Genomic DNA, 26,265 nt, shown 5'->3' on the forward strand with positions numbered 1-26,265 from the left:
AAAAGGAAAACACCTTCAGGAAGCTTTCAACAGACTGACATTTATGTTGGATTGGCCACAATTGTATGGTCATGAGCTACTTAATGACTGGGGAAATATTCGGAAAGATATATTATTAGGCGATTTCAACATTGTGGGAACATTATAGAGTACTTCCACAAACTTAAATGGTATAGCCTAGTACGCAGCTACGCTATGTGGTATAGCCTATTGCTCCTAGGCTATAAACCTGTACAGCATGTTACGGTATTGAATATTATAGGCAGAGTGGTAAATATTTTTGTGTCTAAATATAGAAAAGGTACAGTAAAAATGTGGTGTAAAAGATTACAAAGAGTATGCTTGCATAGAACACTTATCATTAGTGGAGCTTGCAGGACTAGAAGTTGCTTTGGGTGAGTCAATGAGTGGTGAGTGAATATGAATCATTAGGAAATTATTGTATACCACTGTAGATTTTATAAACACTGTACACTTAGGCTACACCAAATTTATAAAAATAATTTTTCTTTCTTCAATAATTAACAATGTAAATTTTTTACTTTATAAATTTTATTTTTTTTAACTTTTTGACTCTTGTAGTACCTCTCAGCATAAAATACAAACATATTGGACAGTTACACAATTTTTTTCTTCATATTATTATTCTATAAGCTTTGTTCTGTTTTTTTTTTATTTTTAAAACTTTTTTTGTTAAAAACCAAGACATAAACACACACATTAGCCTAGGCCTACACAGGCTTAGGATCATCAATATCACTATCTTCCATCTTTACATCTTGTCACTGGAAAGTCTTAAAGGGCAATAATACACATGGAACTTCATCTCCTATGATAACAATATCTTCTTCTGGAATACCTCTTGAAGGCACCTGAGGCTGTTTTACAGATAACTTTTTTAATAAATAGAAGGATTACACTGTAAAGTAACAATGAAAAGTAAAGTATAGTAAATATTTAAAGCAATAACAGTCATTTATTATCATTGTAAGTATCATAAACTGTACATAATTGTGTGTACTATACTGTATTCGACTGTCAGTGCAGTGGGTTTTTTACACCAGTCTCACCACAAACATGTGAATAATGTGTTATATTATGAAGTTATAAAGTTTGACAGCGATGGCTTCACTAAGGGATACAAATTTTTCATCTCCATTTTAATCTTATGGGACCAACATCTTATATGCGATCCTTTGTTGAGTGAAATGTCATTGTGTAGTAATGACTGTATAACATTTCTATCTTCTTCATATTCTCTTATGGAGAGGATAAGAGAATAAAGCATTCAAAAATTTTAATAGCTAAGTGAGACTATCACAATTGCTTCATCATATACTCAAAAACATATTTTAATAAATTATATATATATACAAATCACTGCTCAAAGAAATCTGAGATGACACAAACAAAAAATACCATGCTCATGGATAAGAAGAATCAATATTGTGAAAATGGCTATATTGTCCAAAGCAATTTATAGATTCAATGCTATTCCCATTAAACTATCATTGACATTATTCACAGAATTAAAAACAAACTACTTTAACATTCATATGGAACCAAAAATGAGCCTGAATAGCCAAGGCAATCCTAAGCAAAAAGAACAAAGCTGGAGGCATCACACTACCCAGCTTCAAACTATACCATCAGGCTACAGTAACCAACACAGCATGGTACTGGTACAAAAACAGACATATAGACCAATGGAACAGAAAAGAGAACCAGAAACAGGGCCACACACCTACAACCATCTAATCTTCAACAAACCCGACAAAAACAAGCTATGGGGAAAGGATTCCCTATTTAATAAATTGTGCTGGGAGAACTGTCTAGACATATGCAGAAAACTGAAACTGGAACCCCTTCCTTATACCATATACAAAAATCAACTCAAGATGGATTAAATACTTAAATGTAAAACCCCAAACTATAAAAACCCTAGAAGAAAACCTAGGCAATACCATTCAGGACATAGGCACAGGCAAAGATTCATGACAAAGATGCCAAAAGCAATTGCAACAAAAGCAAAAATTTACAAATTAGATCTAATTAAACTGAAGAGCTTCTGCACAGCAAAGGAAAGCATCAACAAAGTAAACAGACAGCTTACAGAATGGGAAAAATTGTTGTGGTATATCCATCTGACAAAGGTCTAATATCCAGCATCTATAAGGAACCTAAATTTATAAGAGAAAACTAACGACTCCATTTAAAAGTAAGCAAAGGACATGAACGGACAATTCTCAAAAGAAGACATATATGTGGCCATAAAACATGAGAAAAAGCTCAATATCACTGATCATTAGAGAAATGCAAATCAAAACCACAATAAGCTGCCATCTCACACCAGTCAGAACGTTTAGAAAGTCAAAAAACAGGAGATGCTGGTAAGGTTGTGGAGAAAAAGGCACACTTTTACACTGTGGGTGAGAATGAAAATTAGTTCAACCATAGTGAAAGACAGTGTGGCAATTTCTTAAAGAACTAGAGGCAGAAATATCACTTGACCCAGCAATCCCATTACTGGGTATATATCCAAAGAATACAAATTATTCTATTATAAAGACACATGTATGCGTATGGTCACTGCAGCACTATTCACAATAGCAAAGACATGGCATCAACCTAAATGCCCACCAAAGATACACTGGATAAAGAAAATGTGGTACATATACATCATGGAATACTATGCAACCATATAAAAGGAACAAAATATTGTCCTTTGCAGGAACATGGATGTAGGTGGAAGCCATTATCCTTAGCAAACTAACCCAGAAACAGAAAACAAAATACAGCATGTTCTCACTTATAAGTGGGAGCTAAATATTGAGAACACATGGACACACGGTGGGAGCAATACACACTGGGGCCTGTCAGAGGGCAGAGTGTGGGAAGAGGGAGAGGATCAAGGACAGATTGCGGATGCTGGGATTAATACCTTGGTGATGAGATAATCTGTGCAGCAAACGTTTACCTATGTAACAAACCTGCACATCCTCCACATGTACCCCTGTACTTAAAATAAATGTTGGAAATTGAAACAAAAATAGTAATTTTGCTAAATCCATTTTTCAGGTTTTGATGAAACATGCTTATGATAGCGAATAAAAAAATCATTCATTGCCTTACAAATATCACAAAGATATTCTTCTATATTATCGATGGTAGCAGTGGCCCATCTGGAGCAGCCCCTGTGAAGACCTTGGCTGCAGCGGTGGGGGTGCGGCTGGGGCTGTGCACTCCATAAAGCAGATGGGAGCTGGGAACAGGCAGGAGCCCCGCCCCTTTCTGAGTTGGTGCGGCAGGAGCCCTGCATTCCCAGATGCAGCTGTAGCTGCCCAGCCGTGGCTCTGGACCCTGGCATCCCTGCACTCTCAGAGGCCTAGGAAACTGCCCCTGCCCCTGCTAGCTCAGAAGTACCTGCTTCCGCTTTCTGGCCTCTCCCATTCTCGGCACCCACTCCGATTTCAGAGCAAAGCTGAAGCCAAGCCTGGGCGCTGTCACAACTCGGTTGGGTGTGCACACTCTCAGGGTGAAGCTGACGTGCCAGCCCCCAGCAACCTCAGGCTGCTCTGAAACTTTGGGCACAGACGAGGTCAGGAAGGGAGTGTAGGGTGGGCGGGCTGAGGGCAGCTTGACACAGGCCTGCACGTGCCCATCAGCATGAACAGCCTGGGGCCACGGATGACATGTTTTTGGCAGCAGGAGGCAGATGGGCTCCTGGGCAGAAAAGGGCGGGTCCTCAGGGAAATCCCACCTTCAAGTCCGAGAAGGCCTGAAGCCTGGGGACCAGGCTGCCAGTTCCCTGGGGAGTCCGCATCCCAGAGTGAGAACCTATGGTGCTTTTTCCAGGCCGATCTTTGTCTGCCCATGGACCAGTCAGGATGGCACTTTCTCTCTTCTGAGCTCTTATAAACCCCAGACTAAGCCAGACTCAGACAGACGTTGGGACTACCAGCTGCGGGCAGGAGCTACCCACTTTGGGTCTTTTCTACTTTTCAGGACAACTCGCCTGCAGAAAGGAGCTACCCACGACAGGTCTCCACTCCACTGATAGCTGGACACTCACTGGGACAACCTGCCTGCAGAAGGAGCTACGCACCACGAGTCTCCTCTCCACTGAGAGCTGGACACTCACTGGGGCAACCTGCCTGGGGAAAGGAGCCCCAGGCTCTTTTCCACTTTTCATCATGGGTCTCTTCTCCACTAAGAACTGGACACTTGTTGGGATGAACTGCCTGCAGAAAGGAGCTACCAACTTCGTGTCTCCTGAGAGCCATTCTGTCACTCAATGAAACTCCTCTCTGCTTTGCTCACCATCCAGTTGTCCTCATACCTTATTCCCCCGCGACGTGGGACAAGAACTTGGGACCTGCCAAATGGCGGGACTGAAAGAGCTGCAACACAAACAGGGCTGAAACACGCCCCTCGTTCATCAAGTTGTAGGCAAGGAGAAGGAAAGAAGAGCTAGAGCCCTTCGGGGATCCCAGACTTAGGGGATCCCCGAGCCAGGGCTGTGACACTCTCTTTGGGGCTCTGTGGTTCCTGGTGTCTCCAAGCTTCCACGTGACACTGCGGTCCCTAGTGTCTGCAGTAGAAGCTGCTTGTGGTATGCCTGTTCCAGCCATAGCCTCTCATGGAGCCGGAGCCTGTATGGGCACCTAGAGCTACCCACCCTGCCACAGGCTGGCAGTGTGCAGTGGCCGGACCCAGTGCTTGCTCACACACCCCTGGCTGCTCCGCCTCTAGCCCACCCTTGACAGCCATGGAATCCAGTCTGGTAGGGGGCTGAAGCAAAATTCCGGCAAAGGCACCACCAGCTGCAAAGTTTTCCGGATGGAAAAGTGACACCCTGTGACATCTTCTAGAAGCTTTTCAGATGTAGAATTTGTATTTAGGCCTATGTGCTATATTAACTGAATTTTTGCTTGTCATGTAGAGTATGGATCATATATATATATATGTATACAGATATATAATTTGTGAAAAAGTTTATATATTGTTGATATTAGATTAATACTGACTTTCTAAAAAATGGGAAGTATTTCTTTTCAATATTCTGGAATAGTTTTCTAGAACTGATATGAATTCTTCTTTAAAATGTCATAGAAGTCATCAGTTACCTACCTGGGCCTGTTTTTTCAACCATAATCTAATTTATTTTATAAGTATTATACAAGTATATATTTATAAGTATTATACACTTGTATACTTATAATTTATACAAATATAATACTTATATTCATATTTATAAGTATATTTTATATGCTTATATATTATATATACTTATATTAAATATAATACTTATATAAGTAAATATAAATAACTTATAAATTTAATGAGTATATATGCTTATTATATATTATACATATATACATAATTAGCTATTCTGTTTCCTCTTGAATAGGCTTTGCATTTGTCATTTTTTAAAAAATTGTCCATTTTATATAATTATGAAATGTATTGACATGAATTTGTTGATAATATTCCATTTTTATCCATTTGATATCAGTAGGATCTCCACTAAAGTTACCTCTTTCATTCCTCATATTAGAATTGTGTTTCCTCTATCTTAATTTTCCTACTCTGGCTATATAGAATTATCAATTTTTTTTTTCTTGAAAGATAAGACTTATTGTTTCTATGATTAACACTATATTTTTCTGTTTTTTATTTTATTGATTTTATATGAACCTTTATTATCTACTTTCTGTTGCTTACATAAAGTTTCATTGACTCTTTTTTAAAAACAAACAACTCAAATGTTAAATTGGAAGGTCACAAATTTGAGGCCATTCTCTTTTATAATAAAAACATTCAATGCTATACATCTCCTTCAAAGTAATGCTTTACCAGTATTCCACAAATTTAGAGAGGTTGCATTTTTATTTTTCTTCAGTTATATATACTTTCTAATAACAATTTTGATTGTCTTTTGGGGTCTAAAAGAATACTATTTAGTTTCTAAATATTTGCAGATTTTTCCAATTCATTCATTTATAACTATTTCCTTGTTCTAAATTCATTTATAACTATTCCCCTGTTCTAAAGAACATTTTTTCTATAATTTAATTTCACACAAATTTATTCACATTTGCCTTATGGCCCAGAAAAATTTTCATTACATTTTCTATTATACACTTGAAAACTATCTGTATTCTGTCATTAGGTAGCGTTTTATAAATATCAATGAGAAAAGACTCATTAAATATCGAAAGTTTAGTATTATTCTGTCCTTATTATGAATTAACACTTCCATTACTATTCATCACTGTCTTTATACCTGGAAATATTTTTTGCTATAAAATCTCTTTTTCTGATATTAATATTATCACTTAAAACTTATTTAATTAATATTAGCATAGTACATTTCTTCATCCTTTTACTTTTAACCTATTTGTGTTTTAATATTTCCAGTTGTTTTGTTATTGGGAGAACATAATTTGGTTTTATTTGGTAATCAATTGGATAAGCTCTGCCTTTTTATTGGTATCTTTGAATTGTGTTCTTTTAGTGTGAATACTGATATGAATATGTTCTCATATAATATTGCTGTTCATTTTCTAATTGTTCCATTTGTTTGTTCCTCTCTCCCTTTTTCTCCTTCTTTCAGATTTTTTTATGGTTTACTTGTATATTTTCTGTTGTCTTAATAGTTATTAATCTTTGTTTTTTTTGTTTCTTTAGGACTGGTATCAAGTATAAATTCAAAAGATATCACATCAAATTTTGTATGGTACAAGAATATTATGATGGTATACTTCCATTTCTCCCATGCTAGTCTTTATACTATAGTTGTCCTGCAATTTTCTTCTATATATAGAAGTAATGCATTCGTTCTAGTTTTGCATTAAAAGAATGACTTGTCTTTTCAAGAGATTTAAATAATGAGAAAAATATCTTCAGTGTTTGCCCACATAGTTCTTATATTGAGAAATTTTCATTTCTTGGTATAAACCAAGATTTCTAATTATGATTTTTCTTTTGGCTGAACTATTTCCTTGAATACTTGTAATCTTGGTCTGCTGGTGATGAAATTTTTCCAGTTGCATGTATCTGAACGTCATTGTTTTACCTTCATTTTTTGAAAGATCTATTTATTGGGTATAGAATTCTAGGTTGGCAGATATAGTAAGTTCAATAGTGACTCCCGAAATATATTTCCACCCACAACTTCAGAATGTGAATTTATTTGGAATAAGAATCTTTGCAGAGGTAGTTGAGGTAAGGAACTGAAGTAGAGATCATCCTGGGTTAGGATGGAAATTAAATCCAATGGCCAGTGTCTTGTAAGCAGCAGAAAAATAGAAGAAACAGAGAAGAAAGTCATGTGAAGGCAGAAGGCCATGTGAAGACAGAGATTGACTTATGAAAATCCAAGGCGAGGCATGTCAAGTGTCACTGGAAGCTACCTAAATTGGAGAGATATAAAATAATTTTGTTTCAGAGTTTCAGAAGGAGCCAGTACTGATAATTCTTTGAGTTTGGACTTCTGAATCCCAGAATACTGAGAGAAAAATTTGTGTTATTTTCAGTTGCCATGTTTGTAGTAGTTTCTTACAGCAGCTTTAGAAAACTAAAATGGCAAGTTCTTTTCATTTTTTTTTCCTGGCGGGGATATGTTTTTCTAGTATTTTAAGTATATTTCTATACTGTCTTCTGTCTTACATTGTTTTAGGCAAGAAATCTACTGTCATGCTTAATGTTGGTGCCCTATTTGTAATATACTTTTTTCCTTGGGCTGATTTAATATTTGGATTTTTATCATGTTTTAAGCAATCTGATTATGATATATCTTGCTGTAATTTTCTTTTATCTTCCTTGTGACTGAGTTTGTCAGTTTTCTTGGTTCTATAGGTTCAGAATTCTCATCAAATTTAGAAAAATTTTGGCCATTATTTCTTTAATGTATTTTTTCTATCCCTCCTCCCAGGTCCTCTTCTTCCTGGAATCCAGGGAATCCAATTACCTGTATATTTGGCCACTTAAATTTGTCCCACAATTTACTGACATTCTGGTTATTGTTTTAATTTGTATGATTTTTGTTTTTTTCCATGTTTTATTTTGCATATTTTCTATTTTGTATCTTTATGGTTACCAATTATTTTCCCTACAGTGTCTAATATGTGTTTAATTGCATTTAGAGTATTTTTCATCTCAGACATTACATTTTCATTTCTAAAAATAGTTTTGTCTGTTTTTTTAAATATCTATATCTCCATTTAACATGCTTATTTTTTTTCTGTGTTTTCTGGGTGTTTACTGCTTAGTCACAATAATTCTTATTGTCCTGTCTACAAATTTTTTCAACTATGAGTTTTCTGGATTAGTTCTGATGCATTTATTTTCCTCTTCCTTATGAAACATAGTTATCCACTTCTTTAGATGCCTATTTTGATTGGATATTAAACACTGTGATATTTATTTTGTTCATTGCTGCCTAATTTTTATTATAATAAATATTTATGTGTTCTTCTCTAAAACATTGTTACGTTACTTTGAGACAGTATGATTCTTCGAAGTTTTGTTCTGTTATGCAAGACCAAGGAAGTGTCTAGTGTAGACCTAATTTCTGCCCACTCTTAAGGCACTACATTTGTAAATACTCTACCTAATGGCCCTGACAGGAAGATAAGCCATTCTCAGCCAAGTGTAATTTCTAGGATGACTCCCTATTCTCCTTTTTGTTGTTTCTTTGCCTAGTCTTGATTAGTTTCTTCAAACATACATTCATGCCATATTCAACTGAAAACTTTTTGGTGAGGGCAGTGAGGATAAAGGGGGCCAGTAGGCAATGCTGTGCAAATCTCCAAAGCTCTGCCTTTATGCAGCTCTCTCCTTTTTTCTACTCTATTCTCTGAACTCTAGCTGCGTTAGCCTCTGGAACTCACAGTTTTGTCTCATCAACTCAGAGAGACAGCTTTCTCTTTCAATGGTTTGGAACTCTATCCAGGCAGTAAGCTTGAACACTTAAATTCTCACTTTGTCTCCCATTTTTGTGGATCACTGTCCTTCACTGCCTAAATTCTAATGCCTTAAAGCCTTTTTAAAATTTTTTCACATATGTTGTCTGGTCATTTAGTTATTTCACTTGGAAAGATAAGCCAGTCCCTATTACTTTACCTTGTTCAGAAGTAGAAGTAGCACCTGTTTTTATTTGAAGTCAAATTTCATTGAATTTTAAATAATTATGATACCTTCTCTTAGTAATATGTCCATGTATTGTCTACCTCAATAATAATATATTAACACACATGCATTAAATTTACTCTAGAATTCTTCATTTTTCATTCTATTACCTACACAAAATTTGACAATTTAAAAATGGCTTTTCTATGCTCTAGCAGACACTATGCCTTACAAAATAAACATCAATCTATGCCTTACAAAATGAATATCAATCTAGTTGTGGTCTAATGAAAAGTGTTATGTGAAACTGCTTCCTGTAGGTTTTCTCAAAACTTCTTCCCTTTCTTCTTCTTACTATCTAGAAAGCAAAATATATGGGTGGAATTTATTCAGACATGCTAGTTTTCTTCTGTTCAAGGTGGTAGCTACTTACCACTTGTGGCCATTGAGTACTTGAAATGTGGAAAGTCCAAATTGAAATATATTCCATATCTCAAAGACTTAAGGGGGAAATAATAAAATAATCTCATTATTTTGTAAATAATTACATGTTGAAATCATAAATGTTTGCATAAAGTGTTAAATAAACTTTATTAATTTAATCAATTTTGTATTTCAAATATTACTTTTTAAATGTGGCTTCTAGAAAATTTAAAATTATGTATGTTCATATTATATTTCTATTAGATAACACTGTCTTAGATCATTAGTTAGAACTTCTTTTTTCTTTTTTTTGAAAAGGTCCAGATAGCAAATATGCTTGGCCTTTCTAGGCCTACATTCTGCCACAACTATGCAAAGTAGCCATACACAACACATAGATGAATGCTGTGTCAGTGCTCCAGACCAACTTCATATACAAAATTTTTGGACCCTGGATTTGGTCTGTAAGCCTTGGTTTGCTGACACCTTTTATGAAATAACCCTGAGAATTGAAGCCAAGCATTATATATAAGCAAGAAACAGAAAGAAAGAAACTTTAGCTTCTGATCACATTGAAGGCTACCACAGCAGCCTCTGATTGACATTGTTTTAGATATAACAGAAATAAGCTTCTATCTCATTTAAGCCTCTGTCATTTATTTTTTAATATATGTAGCTAAATCTTATTCCAACTTTGTTCATATGCCATAATCCATTATATATTTTGCTATCTTAAAATTTGTAATTCCTCTGTTTATCCTCAGGGCAAATTTGGCTACTTCCATGTACAATATCACTTTAACATCTAATTTGCCTATTGAATTAAAGGGTCCTTCTAGAGAAACTACTGTGGCTTATCTTTCTGTATCATCAACCAATATATGGTAGATTTTCAATGCATTCAGCTAGCATTTAATAAGTGTTAGTTGAGTATACAATGATCAATATCATGTGCAAGAAAGCATCTATCACTGAAGTTTCTCCATATAAGAAATCAACTACAGTAAGCAAAGAAAATGGAAATTTTAATTACTAAAAAAAGAACACCCAAGAAGATTATTATTCCATCCCTTCTAAAATAATTTTCTTCATAGTTATGATCCTTAATAAAAATTACTGCTATTAAAATGACATTTTGAAGTAAGTCATGAGTTGTTGCCTTGTTTCATATTCTGGTAAATGTTTACTGACCATATTTTTAACCTCAAATTATAATACAAATTATAAATTGTAACTCATACAAATTATACAGCTTTTCTTTTTTTTCTTCCTTTATAAAATTTTGTTTATTTATTTATTTATTTTTTAATTTTATTATTATTATACTTTAAGTTTTAGGGTACATGTGCACAATGTGCAGGTTAGTTACATATGAATACATGTGCCATGCTGGTGTGCTGCACCCATTAACTCGTCATTTAGCATTAGGTATATCTCCTAATGCTATCCCTCCCGGCTCCCCCCACCCCACAACAGTCCCCAGAGTATGATGTTCCCCTTCCTGTGTCCATGTGTTCTCACTGTTCAATTCCCACCTATGAGTGAGAACATGCGGTGTTTGGTTTTTTATCCTTGCAATAGTGTACTGAGAATGATGATTTCCAATTTCATCCATGTCCCTACAAAGGACATGAACTCATCATTTTTTATGGCTGCATACTATTCCATGGTGTATATGTGCCACATTTTCTTAATCCAGTCTATCATTGTTGGACATTTGGGTTGGTTCCAAGTCTTTGCTATTGTGAATAGTGCCGCAATAAACATACGTGTGCATGTGTCTTTATAGCAGCATGATTTATAGTCCTTTGGGTATATACCCAGTAATGGGATGGCTGGGTCAAATGGTATTTCTAGTTCTAGATCCCTGAGGAATCGCCACACTGACTTCCACAATGGTTGAACTAGTTTACAGTCCCACCAACAGTATAAAAGTGTTCCTATTTCTCCTCTCCAGCACCTGTTGTTTCCTGACATTTTAATGATCGCCATTCTAACTGGTGTGAGATGGTATCTCATTGTGGTTTCGATTTGCATTTCTCTGATGGCCAGTGATGGTGAGCATTTTTTCATGTGTTTTTTGGCTGCATAAATGTCTTCTTTTGAGAAGTGTCTGTTGATGTCCTTCGCCCACGTTTTGATGGGGTTGTTTGTTTTTTTCTTGTAAATTTGTTGGAGTTCATTGTAGATTCTGGATATTAGCCCTTTGTCAGATGAGTAGGTTGCGAAAATTTTCTCCCATTCTGTAGGTTGCCTGTTCACTCTGATGGTAGTTTCTTTTTCTGTGCAGAAGCTCTTTAGTTTAATTAGATCCCATTTGTCAATTTTGGCTTTTGTTGCCATTGCTTTTGGTGTTTTAGACATGAAGTCCTTGCCCATGCCTAAGTCCTGAATGGTAATGCCTAGGTTTTCTTCTAGGGTTTTTATGGTTTTAGGTCTATTTAATTTAGATTATATGCCCCCAAACATTGAGATAATTATATGCCCCCCAGCCCCCAAGATGATGTGGCAGTTCTGGCCAGCTCAATGGTAGTTGAGTGGAGCCAGGTTCATTATTTTCTAAATGGTATAGCAGGAAATCTATAATGTGAGACTATTGTGTAGCCAAGACAACTTTGTTTCATTAAGACTCAGAGTATCACTACAACATGCCACATCATATCCTGTGGGAATAATGTCTACATGAAGAGGGAGACAAATGACTAAACAGCCACAGACTCCACTTATTGTACCACTCTTTCCTAAGCTCATTTTTCAATTCTCATCACATCTTTCATCCTAGATATTTTCATCCCATTTAACAGATAAAGAATCAGGTATACTGGAAAGATGAAGTAACACCTTTAATGTTGTTGAAGTACACAGATTTAAATTCAAGTCTGGCTGAAATGAAAACTGATACCTTGACAACACAGTCTGAGACAGGATATGATAGATATGCCTTTCTGTGAATTATAATCTCTCATAGAAAAAGGAATTACTTCCAGACACAGATGAGAAAATAATGAATTGTCCAGTTGTCACTGCTTGTATGAAAGTGGTGTCAGTGAACTTATATAAGAAAAAATGCCCAATGGATTTTCTACGTTGCTCGAGATCAGAACAAATAGAAATATGACATCTATAATGCTTAGCCCAATTTTTTTCTTGTCATGGAATTTTTGATGATAGTTTCAAATATTTCAAGCGTATATCTGGTTTAAATTTGTTTCATAACTCCAGAAACAAATCTGAAATTACCTCTTTATTAAAACCTCAATTTCATTCAAATGGCTCCATGCCTCTTCTTTCCTGGTTGATTACCAAACCCTCTATATTTTTTTGGACATACCGACTTTCACATATTTAAAGAACTCCAGCTCTTTTCAAATGACCAAAATAAGTGAACTGATAACTCAAAATACATACCATTAAGTCCTGAGGAAAATGTACAGCCATAATCACTAACAGTTGAGATACCAGAAATGCCCTATCACGTAACTGCTCTTAATTCACACACATCTGCACATACATGTGCGTGCACACACGCATACACCCACAGAGATCAGTTCAGGATGGATTCTGGAAACAGCCATAGTCTTTTTTTGTTAATTCACTTCCCTATGACACTTAGGTCCTAATGCTAAATCCAACTCACTCCCAGGACTTCACCATTTCTTATAACATGCTGAGCTTTCTCTTAGAAAATCCCACTGCCATTTCCCTCAATGGACATCAATCAGCATTACACACAGTGCTCACCTGTCTATGGCCATAGCAAAAGTTTTTATTATTTTTATAAATATGTTTTAACCTTAACTGGCTAAGAATTAAATGCCTCCAAATATTAAATGACTTGGCAATTCTGGCCAGCTCAACTGTGGTTAAATGGACCGAGGTTCATCATTTGAAAGGATATAGCAGGAGTAGTTCCGAGCTCTTCTACATAAATTAACGAATTCATATGTATATATATACACATATATATATATGTGCGTGTATGTGTGTGTGTATATATATGTGAATACATACATATGCATGTGTATTTATATATATGTACATATGCAGGGAAAACATTTTCTGGTTGTACAAATTTGCTTTAACAGACTTTCTGATTTAAATAATTTAATTGTGAGAAGGGTGATTCTAACTTAGCACACCAACAAAAATAAAATCCTCATCCCTCTGCTCAGCCGAAGTATTCTGTTCAGAGCATGTATGTAAACATGAATGCACACCACCCACATGACAATATCAAATTTTTATTTAAACTAATTATTTTTTTTTTACTTTTTTGCATAGTAGTAATGCTTTCTGGCATGAAAAAAAAGTACAGGAAGACAAAATTGTTTAAATGTTGTATTTCCTGCAAGTCAGTATGAAACACATATTAAGGCAATAGGTTGGGGGCCAGAACTTGATGAAGTTAACGCTCAGAAAGGAGATCTGAATATCAGCTGGAATAAAGAGCTATAAGTATGTCACAATTGTACCAAACTTTAGTGAAACTTGAGTGGGGTGCAGTATATCTGAGAGGGTTAGTACACTACTTAACAGACTGAGGAAGTTGTTGAATCCCCTGGAAGAGAACTACATCAAAGGCAATATAACCAGATTTATATAAGGCTTTTAAAGGTTCACCAAGTGGGATTTCCTATCAGGAGAGTTTGGCAGTTTTATTCTCTTTTTTCAGTGGATTTTATATTTTGCCTGAGAATGAAAAGCATACTTTTAGTTTTGTACATTAGGTAAAGCAGAGCAACCTCCAAAATCATGCAGCCAGTACAAAGCTTGATGAAGAGACATCTTATGCCAAAAATGACCGTGGCATTTCAAAGCTGGAAGTTTCTTATGATATAATGATTGACCATTCATATGATTTGTTTATAATGTTGGTAACTAGTTTCCCAGTGCTAATACAAGCAGAAGTTCTTAAAAAGACATTTGATTACTTTGAAGCACAGGCACTTGTCTACTCTAAATAGAATAGAAAGATGGGAATGGAAACTAAAAAGTTAAAAGACAAATTAGATAACAACAATAAATATTTACTACTCTGGATGGGAGTGCATGGAAGAACTTTCAAATATTTGGCCTTCTCTAAGCACTACTTGACCTTGCTACTTCAAACCACCACTTTGGTATTTAATGAGTGGCCCTGTGAAACAAAATATTTAACTAGATAGTAAAAATTTTTGGGACTTTGATAGATTTTTCTGGTACCTGAGAGCTTTATCTATCTATCAAACACTGTGCAGGGTAAAGCTAGGCTTTGAAATACATACAACTCATTCACAATATCTAATTACAGATGCATATAAATTAATTTCTAAAATTATTTCCTATTACTAGAAGTAAATAGAATTATATTTATTTATAAAACTTATGTGTTCTATTATGGGGACAATGTGTGTTAAGTGATATTTTTATATAAAATTTTTCTAAGAAAACAGATGGAATATAAGAAGAAATTGAATCATAGTGACTGAGATCTTTCGAACCTTAAGGACAAATACCAAATTACAGGTCCAAAAAACTCAGAGAATGCTACGCAGGATGAATATGAAAAAAATATACCTAGGAATATCATATTAAAACTGTAGAAAACCTAACACAAAGATAAAATATTAAAATAAGGCAGAAGAAGAAATACATTGTTATATAGAGTAACAGATATAAGAATTGAATCAAACTTCTTTTTAGAAGCCAAGCAAGTAAGAAGGGAGTAGAACGTAATATTTAAAGTGTTAAAAATTGTAATATAGTGAACATTTTTATCCAAATATTCATTATCTAAAATTGTGAGGCAAAAACAATTATAACATCAACATATTCACTAACAGTCTGGGCACTCATTATATTAATTCCTGTTATGGACCGAGTTAGGTTCCCCCAAAATTCATAAGCTGAAGCCCTATCTCCCAATGTGACTGTATTTTGCAATAGAGCTTTTAAGAGGTAATGAAGGTTAAATGAGGTCATAGGGTAAGGTCCTAATCTTTTAGTACTGGCATCCCTATCAGAAAAGGAGGAGACACCAGATTTCTCTCTCTCTCTCTCTCTCTCTCTCTCTGCACATATACAGTCCTTGTGAGCATACACTGAGAGGGTGGCCATCTGCAACCCGGAAAGAGAGACCTCACTAGAAACAAATTCAGCTGGAACCTTGATCTTGGACTTCTAGCCTCCAGAACTGTGAGGAAATAAATTTCTGTTGTTTAAACTGTACAGTCTGTGGTGTTATGTGGCATCCTAAGCAGATGAAAATAGGCAACTAGGATTGACTTGAGGCATCATGCTACCTGACTTCAAACTATACTACAAGGCTACAGTAACCAAAACAGCATGGTACTGGTACCAAAACAGAGATATAGACCAATGGAACAGAACAGAGCCCTCAGAAATAACACCGCATATCTACAACTATCGAATCTTTGACAAACCTGATAAAAACAAGCAATGGGGAAAGGATTCCCTATTTAATAAATGGCGCTAGGAAAACTGGCTAGCCATATGTAGAAAGCTGAAAGTGGATCCCTTCCTTACACCTTATACAAAAGTTAATTCAAGATGGATTAAAGACTTAAACGTTAGACCTAAAACCATAAAAACCCTAGAAGAAAACCTAGGCATTACCATTCAGGACTTAGGCATGGGCAAGGACTTCATGTCTAAAACACCAAAAGCAATGGCAACAAAAGCCAAAATTGACAAATGGGATCTAATTAAACTAAAGAGCTTCTGCACAGAAAAAGAAACTACCATCAGAGTGAACAGGCAACCTACAGAATGGGAGAAAATTTTCACAACCTACTCATCTGACAAAGGGCTAATATCCAGAATCTACAATGAACTCCAACAAATTTACAAGAAAAAAACAAACAACCCCATCAAAACGTGGGCGAAGGACATCAACAGACACTTCTCAAAAGAAGACATTTATGCAGCCAAAAAACACATGAAAAAATGCTCACCATCACTGGCTATCAGAGAAATGCAAATCAAAACCACAATCAGATACCATCTCACACCAGTTAGAATGGTGATCATTAAAGTCAGGAAACAACAGGTGCTGGAGAGGATGTGGAGAAATAGGAACACTTTTACACCGTTGGTGGGACTGTAAACTAGTTCAACCATTGTGGAAGTCAGTGTGGCGATTCCTCAGGGATCTAGAACTAGAAATACCATTTGACCCAGCCATCCCATTACTGGGTATATACCCAAAGGACTATAAATCATGCTGCTATAAAGACACATGCACACGTATGTTTATTGCGGCACTATTCACAATAGCAAAGACTTGGAACCAACCCAAATGTCCAACAATGATAGACTGGATTAAGAAAATGTGGCACATATACACCATGGAATCCTATGCAGCCATAAAAAATGATGAGTTCATGTCCTTTGTAGGGACATGGATGAAACTGGAAATCAACATTCTCAGTAAACTATCGCAAGGACAAAAAACCAAACACTGCATATTCTCAGTCATAGGTGGGAATTGAACAATGAGAACACATGGACACAGGAAGGGGAACATCACACTCTGGGGACAGTTGTGGTGTGGGGGGATGGGGGAGGGATAGCTTTAGGAGATATACCTAATGCTAAATGACGAGTTAATGGGTGCAGCACACCAGCATGGCACATGTATACATATGTAACTAACCTGCACATTGTGCACATGTACCCTAAAACTTAAAGTATAATAATAATAAAATTAAATTAAAAAAGAAAATAGGCACCTAAAAATTAGCCATCTCTATTTTATAATAATGTCTATGATATGGTTAGGCTTTGTGTCCCTACCCAAATCTCATCTTTTTATTTATTTATTTGTTTATTATTCATTTATATAATTATACAATATTATATATAATAATATAATTATGTTATAATATATTCATATACATACAATATAATCATATACAATATATTATAATATAATTATATATATTTATATTATATTTATATTTCAGGTCTTAGGTTTGAGTCCTTGATCCATCTTGAGCTGATTTTTGTATAAGGTGAGAGATGAGGATCCAGTTTCATTCTCCTACATGTGGCTAGCCAATTATCTCAGCACCATTTGTTGAAAAGGGTGTCCTTTCCCCACTTTATGTTTTGTTTGCTTTGTTGAACATCAGTTGACTGTTAAGTATTTGGGTTTATTTCTGGGTTCTCTATTCTATTCCATTTGTCTATGTGCCTACTTTTATGCCAGTATCATGCTGTTTTGGTGACTATGACCGTATAGTATAGTTTTAAATCAGGTAATATGATGCCTCTAGATTTGTTCTTTTTGAATTTTAGAATTGTTTTTTCTAATTCCGTGAAGAATGATGGTGGTATTTTGACAAGAATTGCATTGAATTTGTAGATTGCTTTTGGCAGTATGATCATTTTCAGAATATTTATTCTACCTATCAGTGAGCATGGGATGTGTTTCCATTTGTTTGTGTCATCTATGATTTCTTTCAGCAGTGTTTTGTAGTTTTCCTTGTAGAGGTCTTTCACTTCCTTGGTTAGGTATATTCCTAAGTATTTTTTTTTTTTTTTTTTTGCAGCTATTGTAAAGGGGGTTGAATTCTTGATTTGATTCTCAGCTTGGTCGCTGTTGGTATATAGAAGAGCTACTGATTTGTGTACATTAATTTTGTATCCGGAAACTTTCCTGAATTATTTTATGAGTTCTAGGAGCTTTCTGGATGTGTCTTTAGGGTTTTCTAGGTAAACAATCATATCATCAACAGACAGTCACTTTACCAATTTGGATGCACTTTACTTCTTTATCTTGTCTGAAAGCTCTGGCTAGGACTTCAAGTACTATATAGAAGAGGAGTGGTGATAGTGGGCATCCCTGTCTTGCTCAAGTTCTCAGAGGGAATGCTTTCAACTTTCCCCCATTCAGTATTATGTTGGCTGTGGGTTTGCCATAGATGGCTTTTATTACATTGAGGTATGTCTGTTGTATAGTGATACTGCTGAGTTTTAATCATAAAGGGATGCTGGATTTTGCTAATGTTTTTTCTGCATCTATTGAGGTGATCATGTAATTTTTGTTTAAGATTCTTTTTATGTAGTATATCACATTTATTAACTTGTGTATGTTAAACCATCCCTGAATCCCTGGTATGAAAACAACTTGATCATTGTGGATTTTGTTTTTGATATGTTCTTGGATTTGGTTAGCTAGTATTTTGTAAAGGATTTTAGCATCTATGTTCATCAGGGATATTGGTCTGTAGTTTTCTTTTTTGATTATGTCCTTTCCTGGTTTTGGTATTAGGGTGAAACTGGCTTCATAGAATGATTTAGGGAGGGTTCCCTCTTTCTCTAACTTGTGGAATAGTGTCAATAGGATTGGTACCAATTATTTGAATATCTTGTAGAATTCTACAGTGAATCCATCTGGTCCTGGAGGTTTTCTTTGTTAATATTTTTTATTAGCATTTCAATCTTGCTGATCATTATTGGTCTGTTCAAAGTATCTAATTCTTCCTGATTTAAGCTAGGAAGGTTGTATCTTTCCAGGAATTTATCCATCTCCTCTAGGTGTTCTAATTTACATGTGTAAAGGTGTTCATAGTAGCCTTGAATGATCTTTTGTATTTCTGTGGTGTCAGCTGTAATATTTCCCATATCATTTCTAACTGATCTTATTTGGATTTTCTCTCTTCTTTCCTTGATTAGTCTTCCTAGTGATCCATCAATTTTATTTATCTTTTCAAAGAACCAGCTTTTTGTTTCATTTATCTTTTGTGTTGGTTTTTTGTTCATTTGTTTTTTCAATTTCATTTAGTTCTGCTTTGATCTTGGTTATTTCCTTTCTTCTGCTGGGTTTGGGTTTGGTTGGTTCTCATTTCTCTAGTTCCTTGAGATGTGATCTTAGATTGTCTGTTTGTGCTCCTTCAGACTCTCTGATGTAGATTTTAGGGTTATAAACTTTCCTCTTAGCACCTGCCTTTGCTGTATCCCAGAGGTTTTGATAGGTAGTGTCACTGTTGTCATTCAGTTTGAATAATTATTTAATTTTCCTCTTGAGTTCATTTTTGACCCAATGATTGTTCAGGAGCAGATCATTTGATTTCCATATATTTTCATGGTTTTGAAGGTTTTTTTTTTTTTTTGAGTTAATTTCCAGTTTTAGTCCACTGTGGTCTAAGAGAGTGCTTGATATAATTTCAATTGTCTTGAATTTATTGAGGCTCGTTTTGTGGCCTATCATATGGTCTATTTTGGAGAAAGTTCCATGTGCTGTTGAAAAGAATGTATATTCTGCAGTTGTTGGGTAGAATGTTCTGTAAAATCTGTTAAGTCTGTTTGTTCCAGGGTATGGTTTAAATCTATTTTTTATTTGTTGACTTTCTGTCTTGATGACCTGTCTATTGCTATCAGTGGAGTATTGAAGTCCCCCACTATTATTGTGTTGCTGTGTATCTAATTTCTTAGTTCTATTGGTAATTGTTTTATAAATTTGGGAGCTCCAGTGTTAGGTGCATATATATGTAGGATTATGATACCTTCTTTTTGGACAAGGCCTTTTATCATCATATAATGACTCTCTTTGTCTTTTTTAACTACTGTTGCTTTAGAGTTTGTTTTGTCTGATATAAGAATAGCTACTCCTGCCTGTTTTCAGTGTCCATTTGCATGGAGTATCTTTTTCCATCCCTTTACCTTAAGTCAACATGAGTTCTTATGTGTTAGGTGTTTCTCTGGAAGGCAGCAGATAGTTGGTTGGTGAATTCTTATCCATTCTGCAATTCTGTATCTTTTAAATGGAGCATTTAGGCCATTTACATTCAACATTAGTATTGAGGTGTGAAGTAACATTCCATTCATCATGCTATTTGCGGCTTGTATTCCTTTAATTTTTGTTTTTTTAATTGTATTTTTGTTTTGTATGTCCTGTGATATTTGTGCTTTAAAGAGGTTCTGCTTTGATGTGTTTCCAGGATTTGTTTCAAGATTTAGAGCTCCTTGGAGCGGTTCTTGTATTACTGGTTTTGTAGTGGTGAATTATCTCATTTTTTGTTTGTCTAAAAAAGACTATATCTTTCCTTCACTTACGCAGCTATGCAGCTTATTTTCACTGCATCCAAAATTCTTGGCTGATAATTGTTTTGTTTTGGGAGGCTGAAGATAGGGCCCCAATCCCTTCTATCTTCTAGGGTGTCTGCTGAGGAAGCTGCTGTTAATCTGATAGGTTTTCCTTTATAGGTTACCTAGTGTTTGGCCTCACAGCCTGTAAGTTTCTTTCCTTCATCTTAACTTTAGATAACCTGATGACAATGTGCCTAGGCAATGATCTTTTTGTGATGAATTTCCTAGATGTTCTTTGAGTTTCTTACATTTGGATGTCTGCTTCTTTAGCAAGGCTGGGAAATTTGTCCTTGATTATTTCCCCAAATATATTTTACAAACTTTTAGATTTCTCTTCTTCCTGAGGAATGCCAATTATTCGTAGGTTTGGTTGTTTAACATAATCCCAGACTTCTAGGAAGATTTGTTTATATTTTCTTATTCTTTTTTTCTTTGTCTTTGTTGGATTGGGTTAATTAGAAACCTTGTCTCTGAGCTCTGAAGTTCTTTCTTCTGCTTATTCAATTCTATTGCTGAGACTTTCCAGAGAATTTTGCATTTCTGTAAGTGCGTCCATTGTTTCCTGAAGTTTGATTGTTTTTTATTTATGCTATCTATTTAGCTGAATATTTCTCCCTTCACTTTTTGTATCTTTTTTTTTTTTTAATTTCCTTACATTGGGCTTCACCTTTCTCTGGTGCCTCCCTGATTAGCTTAATAACTAACCTTCTGAATTCTTTTTCAGGTAGATCCAGGACTTCTTGATTTGGATCCATTGCTGGTAAGCTAGTGTGATTTTTTTGGAGGGTGTTAATGAAACTTCTTTTGTCATATTAGCAGAGTTGGATTTCTGGTTCCTTCTTATTTGGGTAGGCTCTGTCAGAGGGAAGGTCTAGAGCTCAAGGCTGTGGTTCAATTCCTTTTGTCCCATGGGGTGTTTCCTTGATGTGGTACTCTCCCCCTTTTCCTAGGGATGTGGCTTCCTGAGAGCCGAGCTGTAGTGATTGTTATCTCTCTTCTGGATCTAGCCACCCAGCAAAACTATCAGGCTCTAGGCTGGTACTGGGAGTTGTCTGCACAGAGTCCTGTGATGTGAACCCTCTGTGTGTCTCTCAGCCATGGATACTTGCGCCTGCTCCAGTGGAGGTGGCAGGGGGAGTCTGAGAGTCCTTAGTTTTGGTTGTTTTATGTACTATTTTTGTGCTGGTTCGCCTCCTGCTAGGAAGTGGTGCTTCAAGAGAGCATCAGCTGTGATAGCACGGGGGGAAACAGGTGGTGGGTGAGGCCCTAGAACTCTCAAGAGTATATGCCCTTTTTCTTCAGTTACCAGGGTGGATAGGGAAGGACCATTAGGTGGGGGCAGGCCTAGGCATGTCTGAGCTCAGACGATACTTGAACAGTTCTTGTGCGGGCAGTGGGTGAGCGGGGCTGAGAACTTGCCCAGGCTACCTGCCTCCCAGCTGCGAAATTAGGGCTTTCTTTCTTTCTCCATTTGTGGCGTCTGCGCACCAGACTCACGCTCTCCCCGAGAGACTTCTCAATTGGTTCAAATTGTTACAAAGTTCAGCTGGGGGTTTCCATCTCCTTGCGGCTTTTTCCCATTGACTCTGGGAGCCCTCCTCTAGAAGCCAGTGAGGCAAGGCAGAAATGTCGTGCTAGGGAACCCAGTGAGGCCACAGGGATTTTCCTGCTGCTTCCTCTACCCCTGTATTTCGCTTGGCTCTCTAAATTGACTCAGCTCCAGGTAAGGTCACAATCTTCTCCCATAATCTAGACCTTCAGGTTCCCCAGTGGGGAAGTGTGTTCAGTGGTAGATGAGCTCCCATTCCCACATCCACAGTTTGGGCACTCACAGTATTTGGGGTATCTCCCAGTTCTATCCTGTAGGAGCAATAGACTTTCTTCAGAAGGTCTGTGGATTCTCTTGGCTTTCCTACTACATTCCTGCAGTCGTTCTGGAGCAAAAGGTCACAATGAGAGCCTCCACACACCTGCAGCAAACTTTTGCCTAGACATTCAGGCATTTCCATATATCCTCTGAAATCTAGGCACAGGTTCCCAGACCTCAATTCTTGACGTATGTGCACCCATCTCATGTAAGCTGCCAAGACTTGGGGCTTCACCCTTTGAAGCAATGGCCTGAGCTGTACCTTGGGCCCTTTTAGTCATGGATGTAGCTGAAGCAGCTGGGACTCAGGCACCATGTCCCAAGACTGCATAGAGTAGGGGGGCCCTGGGCCCAGCCCACAGAACTATTTTTCCTTCCTAGGCCTCCAGGCCTGTGATGGGAGGGGATGCCATGCAGGTCTCTGACATGCCCTAGAGACAATTTTCCTATTTTCTCATTGATTAACGTTCAGCTTCTTGTTATTTACGCAAATTTCTGCTGCAGGCTTGAATTTCTCCACAGAAAATGAGTTTTTTTTCTTTTATCACATCTACAGGCTGCAAATTTTCCAAAGTTTTATGCTCTGTTTCCTCTTGAATGCTTTGCTGCTTAGAAATTTCTTCTGCCAGATATCCTAAGTCATCTCTCTCAAGTTCAAAGTTTCACAGACCTCTAGAGCAGGAGCAAAATGCCACCAGTCTCTTTGTTAAAGCATAGGAAGAGTCACCTCTATTTTATGATAATGAGCTAATCTAACCCTCCTAAACTTCACATCAACCAACTCCTAAAAAGAGTTATTATGTCCATACCAATGATGATGCCTTAGCTATTGTTAAAAATCTCATAGTATGATGTAAAGTGAGAGTATAATATAATTTTATTGCTAGGCCATCTTTGATTTTATACAGAAACACACACCAACTTTTCTGTTAGCAAGGGTAATATCAAAGCAAACACCAGAAGGAGAGTTATATGCGGGATTTGTTTTCTCAAAACCATGGAGGTAATCAACATTCAAACAAAAGACAAATGATGAATATTTCTTCAGAAAATATGAAGTCCTTCCTATTATTTTATCAAAGATTTTCAATATTCTGACCATTTTTATTTATGCAATTGAGTTCTGTTTTAGCTGAAATTAATTTTGTTTTCATTGTTCTAAATGAACACCTTCTCCCTTGAGTCTTTATTGTTCTAAAAATTGTACAGAGATGTGGAAAAATATTTTCCTTTTTTTTGATTGTGCTAGTGATATGTGAAAAGGTATATACAGATGGTACATAAGAACAGGAAAATATGTGTAATAATATTAGTCATAAAGAATTTGCAAACTGAGGCCACAATGATTTTTCACCATATACCTACCAGAATGACTAAAATAAAAGTAATAAAACAGCAAATTCTGATTAGCATGAACAAAAACTGGATCTTTCATACATTGCTGGTGGGAATGTAAAATTGTACAGCCATGCTGAAAAAGAGTATAGTATATTCTTAAGAAAGTAAAAAAAAGTTTATCATATGACCCAACAATTGTTATTGGGCATTTATACCAGATAAATAAAATGTAGGTTCACATAATAACCTGTATATGAGTGTCTGCAGCAACTTCATTTGCAACAGTCAAAAGTTGAAAACAGTTCAAATATATTTCAATGGGTGAATTGTTAAGCTGTGGTATATCCATACTGTGGAATACTACACAGCAATAACAAAATAAGAAATTTATTGATGCATGTAAAAATGTAAATAGCATTTTAGGAAATTATGCTGGGTTTTTAAAAAGCCATTTATATAGCATTCTTGAAATGAAAAAAATATATAGGATAAGGAACAGAATTGTAGTGCCAGATATTAGGTGTTTTGTGGCTGGGCAGGGTTCATGGTAGTGCTATAAAATGGGAGAAGGAGGGATCCCTGTGGTTGAACTATTCTATGTCTTGATTGTGATAATGGTCACACAAATCTATAAATGTGATAAAACTGCATAGAACACACACACACACACACACACACACATCTGCAAAACTAGTGAAACCCGATTGAGGATAAGATGGGTGTAATTTGTCTAGTGCTTTTCCTGGTAGTGACATTGTACTATATTTACAAAAAATGTTACTATTGGAGGGAAAATTAGTGATGGATATATGGGATCTCTCTCTATTATATTTTACAGTCTATCTCAAAATAGCCCAACAAAGGCAGATGGTTCATTTGGATTGCCATATCTGAACAGGAGCTCTCAGGACTAGTCTGTGTTGTAGTTATATGGAATGAAAACTAGATAGAAACAAACAGGCTCTGCTGCAATTGATTTTTTAAAAAGAAGACATCCAAATATATTTAATTCTTCTGCAAGTTTAAGAAGACAATGTGCTTTCTTCTTTAAAATAATTTAAATCGTTACATAGTATTTATTTATTAGTTTGACTCATTTGCTATTGATATTATAGGAAGGGCAGTACTAAAATTTAGATCATATATCTAAGTAGTTTGAACATTTTTATTAATATGTATTATTATGAATATAATTATATCAAGAATAATCAACTTTCTTATGTTAAAATTATATGATTATATAAACTATATGTATATATATATAACAAGTACATATTAAAATATGTCTATAATAACAATTTTAAATAAGAGAATTGTATGAGACATAATACTCCTTATTTGGAACAACATTTTAGCTAGGTTTAATTTACATAAATATAATTTTATGTATATGTACACTGGCATATAAACTACAGAAGGACAGAGACTTTTCCTGTGATTATAGTACCATTCCCTGCATTCAAGGATACCAGTTTCTCAATAGCTCTCTGGTGGACCCACTCACTTGAAATGGAAGCACTTTTTTTGTCCACCTCCATGAGTAGAAATGATATCTCAACATAATAAAAACTACTTACCAAAGAGATTTTTGCTAACAACCTCTCTCACTTCTATATTAATTGTAAACCTTTTGAAAAATATTTTTAGATGCATGATTGAGTAATCCTAATGTAATGAATTTTGTTTGCAAGTTAGAAACATCCTAAATTGTCTGAAACTCACTTTATAATGTAGGAATCTTTTCTCCTTAACTTGAGGGTCTCATCCAAAACATTAAGCCCACACCACTCCCAATAAAATAGTCTATTAAAATACATATATTGGACATAAGTTGTTCTTATTTGGGAAGATAGTAAATTAATATGTTTCCCTATTTAGTGTATTTACTGTAGTAATATCTTCTTTTTCATGTGACTATTTCTGTAAGCTATTAATTTTCATAAAAACTTTTAAAACCAATTTTTATTTGACTTTCAGTTCTAGATAGAGTATTTCACTGATTATAAAGTTTTCTTTGTGATCTACTCAATTTTATTTGATGTACAATTCTACCACTGATATAATAATTAGAAATAATGTTGCTATTCTGAAAGAGGTTAAATATTATGTCTACTTTTCTCCCAAATTTAAATAGTTACAACAGGCAACTATTTAATTTTTCTTCAAATAGTTTTTTAAAATAAAAACTTATAAAATATTTCTAACATCCCTTAAGGATTTGTAGTGTTATGTTTTCCATAAGACATGTTTTCTGTATAGTCAGTTTTTCTGGTAGACTGTCTCTGGATCTTTATGACAATTCTATAATGTTCCGTTATTGTAGGTTAATAATAGTATATGCTATCTTAAAACCATCTGTAAAATTACAAAGGAATACTTTATCAACACTACATAATTCTAAATTAAAATGTTTC

General features: G+C 35.5%; 3 annotated features.

Annotated features, from left to right (window-relative positions):
- Window positions 3,009–3,549: an enhancer, noted in NCBI's record as "H3K4me1 hESC enhancer chr9:30943366-30943906 (GRCh37/hg19 assembly coordinates)". NCBI's record gives its function as "activates a minimal SCP1, AML or CMV promoter by ChIP-STARR-seq in naive H9 embryonic stem cells {active_cell/tissue: H9 hESC(naive)}" and the evidence as "EXISTENCE:reporter gene assay evidence [ECO:0000049][PMID:30033119]".
- Window positions 4,172–4,466: a silencer, noted in NCBI's record as "tiled region #1939; K562 Repressive non-DNase unmatched - State 24:Quies". NCBI's record gives its function as "represses a minimal TATA promoter and a strong SV40 promoter by Sharpr-MPRA in K562 cells {active_cell/tissue: K562}" and the evidence as "EXISTENCE:reporter gene assay evidence [ECO:0000049][PMID:27701403]".
- Window positions 21,291–22,490: an enhancer, noted in NCBI's record as "MED14-independent group 3 enhancer chr9:30961648-30962847 (GRCh37/hg19 assembly coordinates)". NCBI's record gives its function as "activates an origin of replication core promoter dependent on BRD2, BRD4, P300/CBP and CDK7 cofactors, and independent of MED14, by STARR-seq in HCT116 cells {active_cell/tissue: HCT116}" and the evidence as "EXISTENCE:reporter gene assay evidence [ECO:0000049][PMID:35650434]".

The sequence above is a fragment of the Homo sapiens genome, chromosome 9 (assembly GCF_000001405.40).
Source record: "Homo sapiens chromosome 9, GRCh38.p14 Primary Assembly".
NCBI lineage: Eukaryota > Metazoa > Chordata > Mammalia > Primates > Hominidae > Homo > Homo sapiens.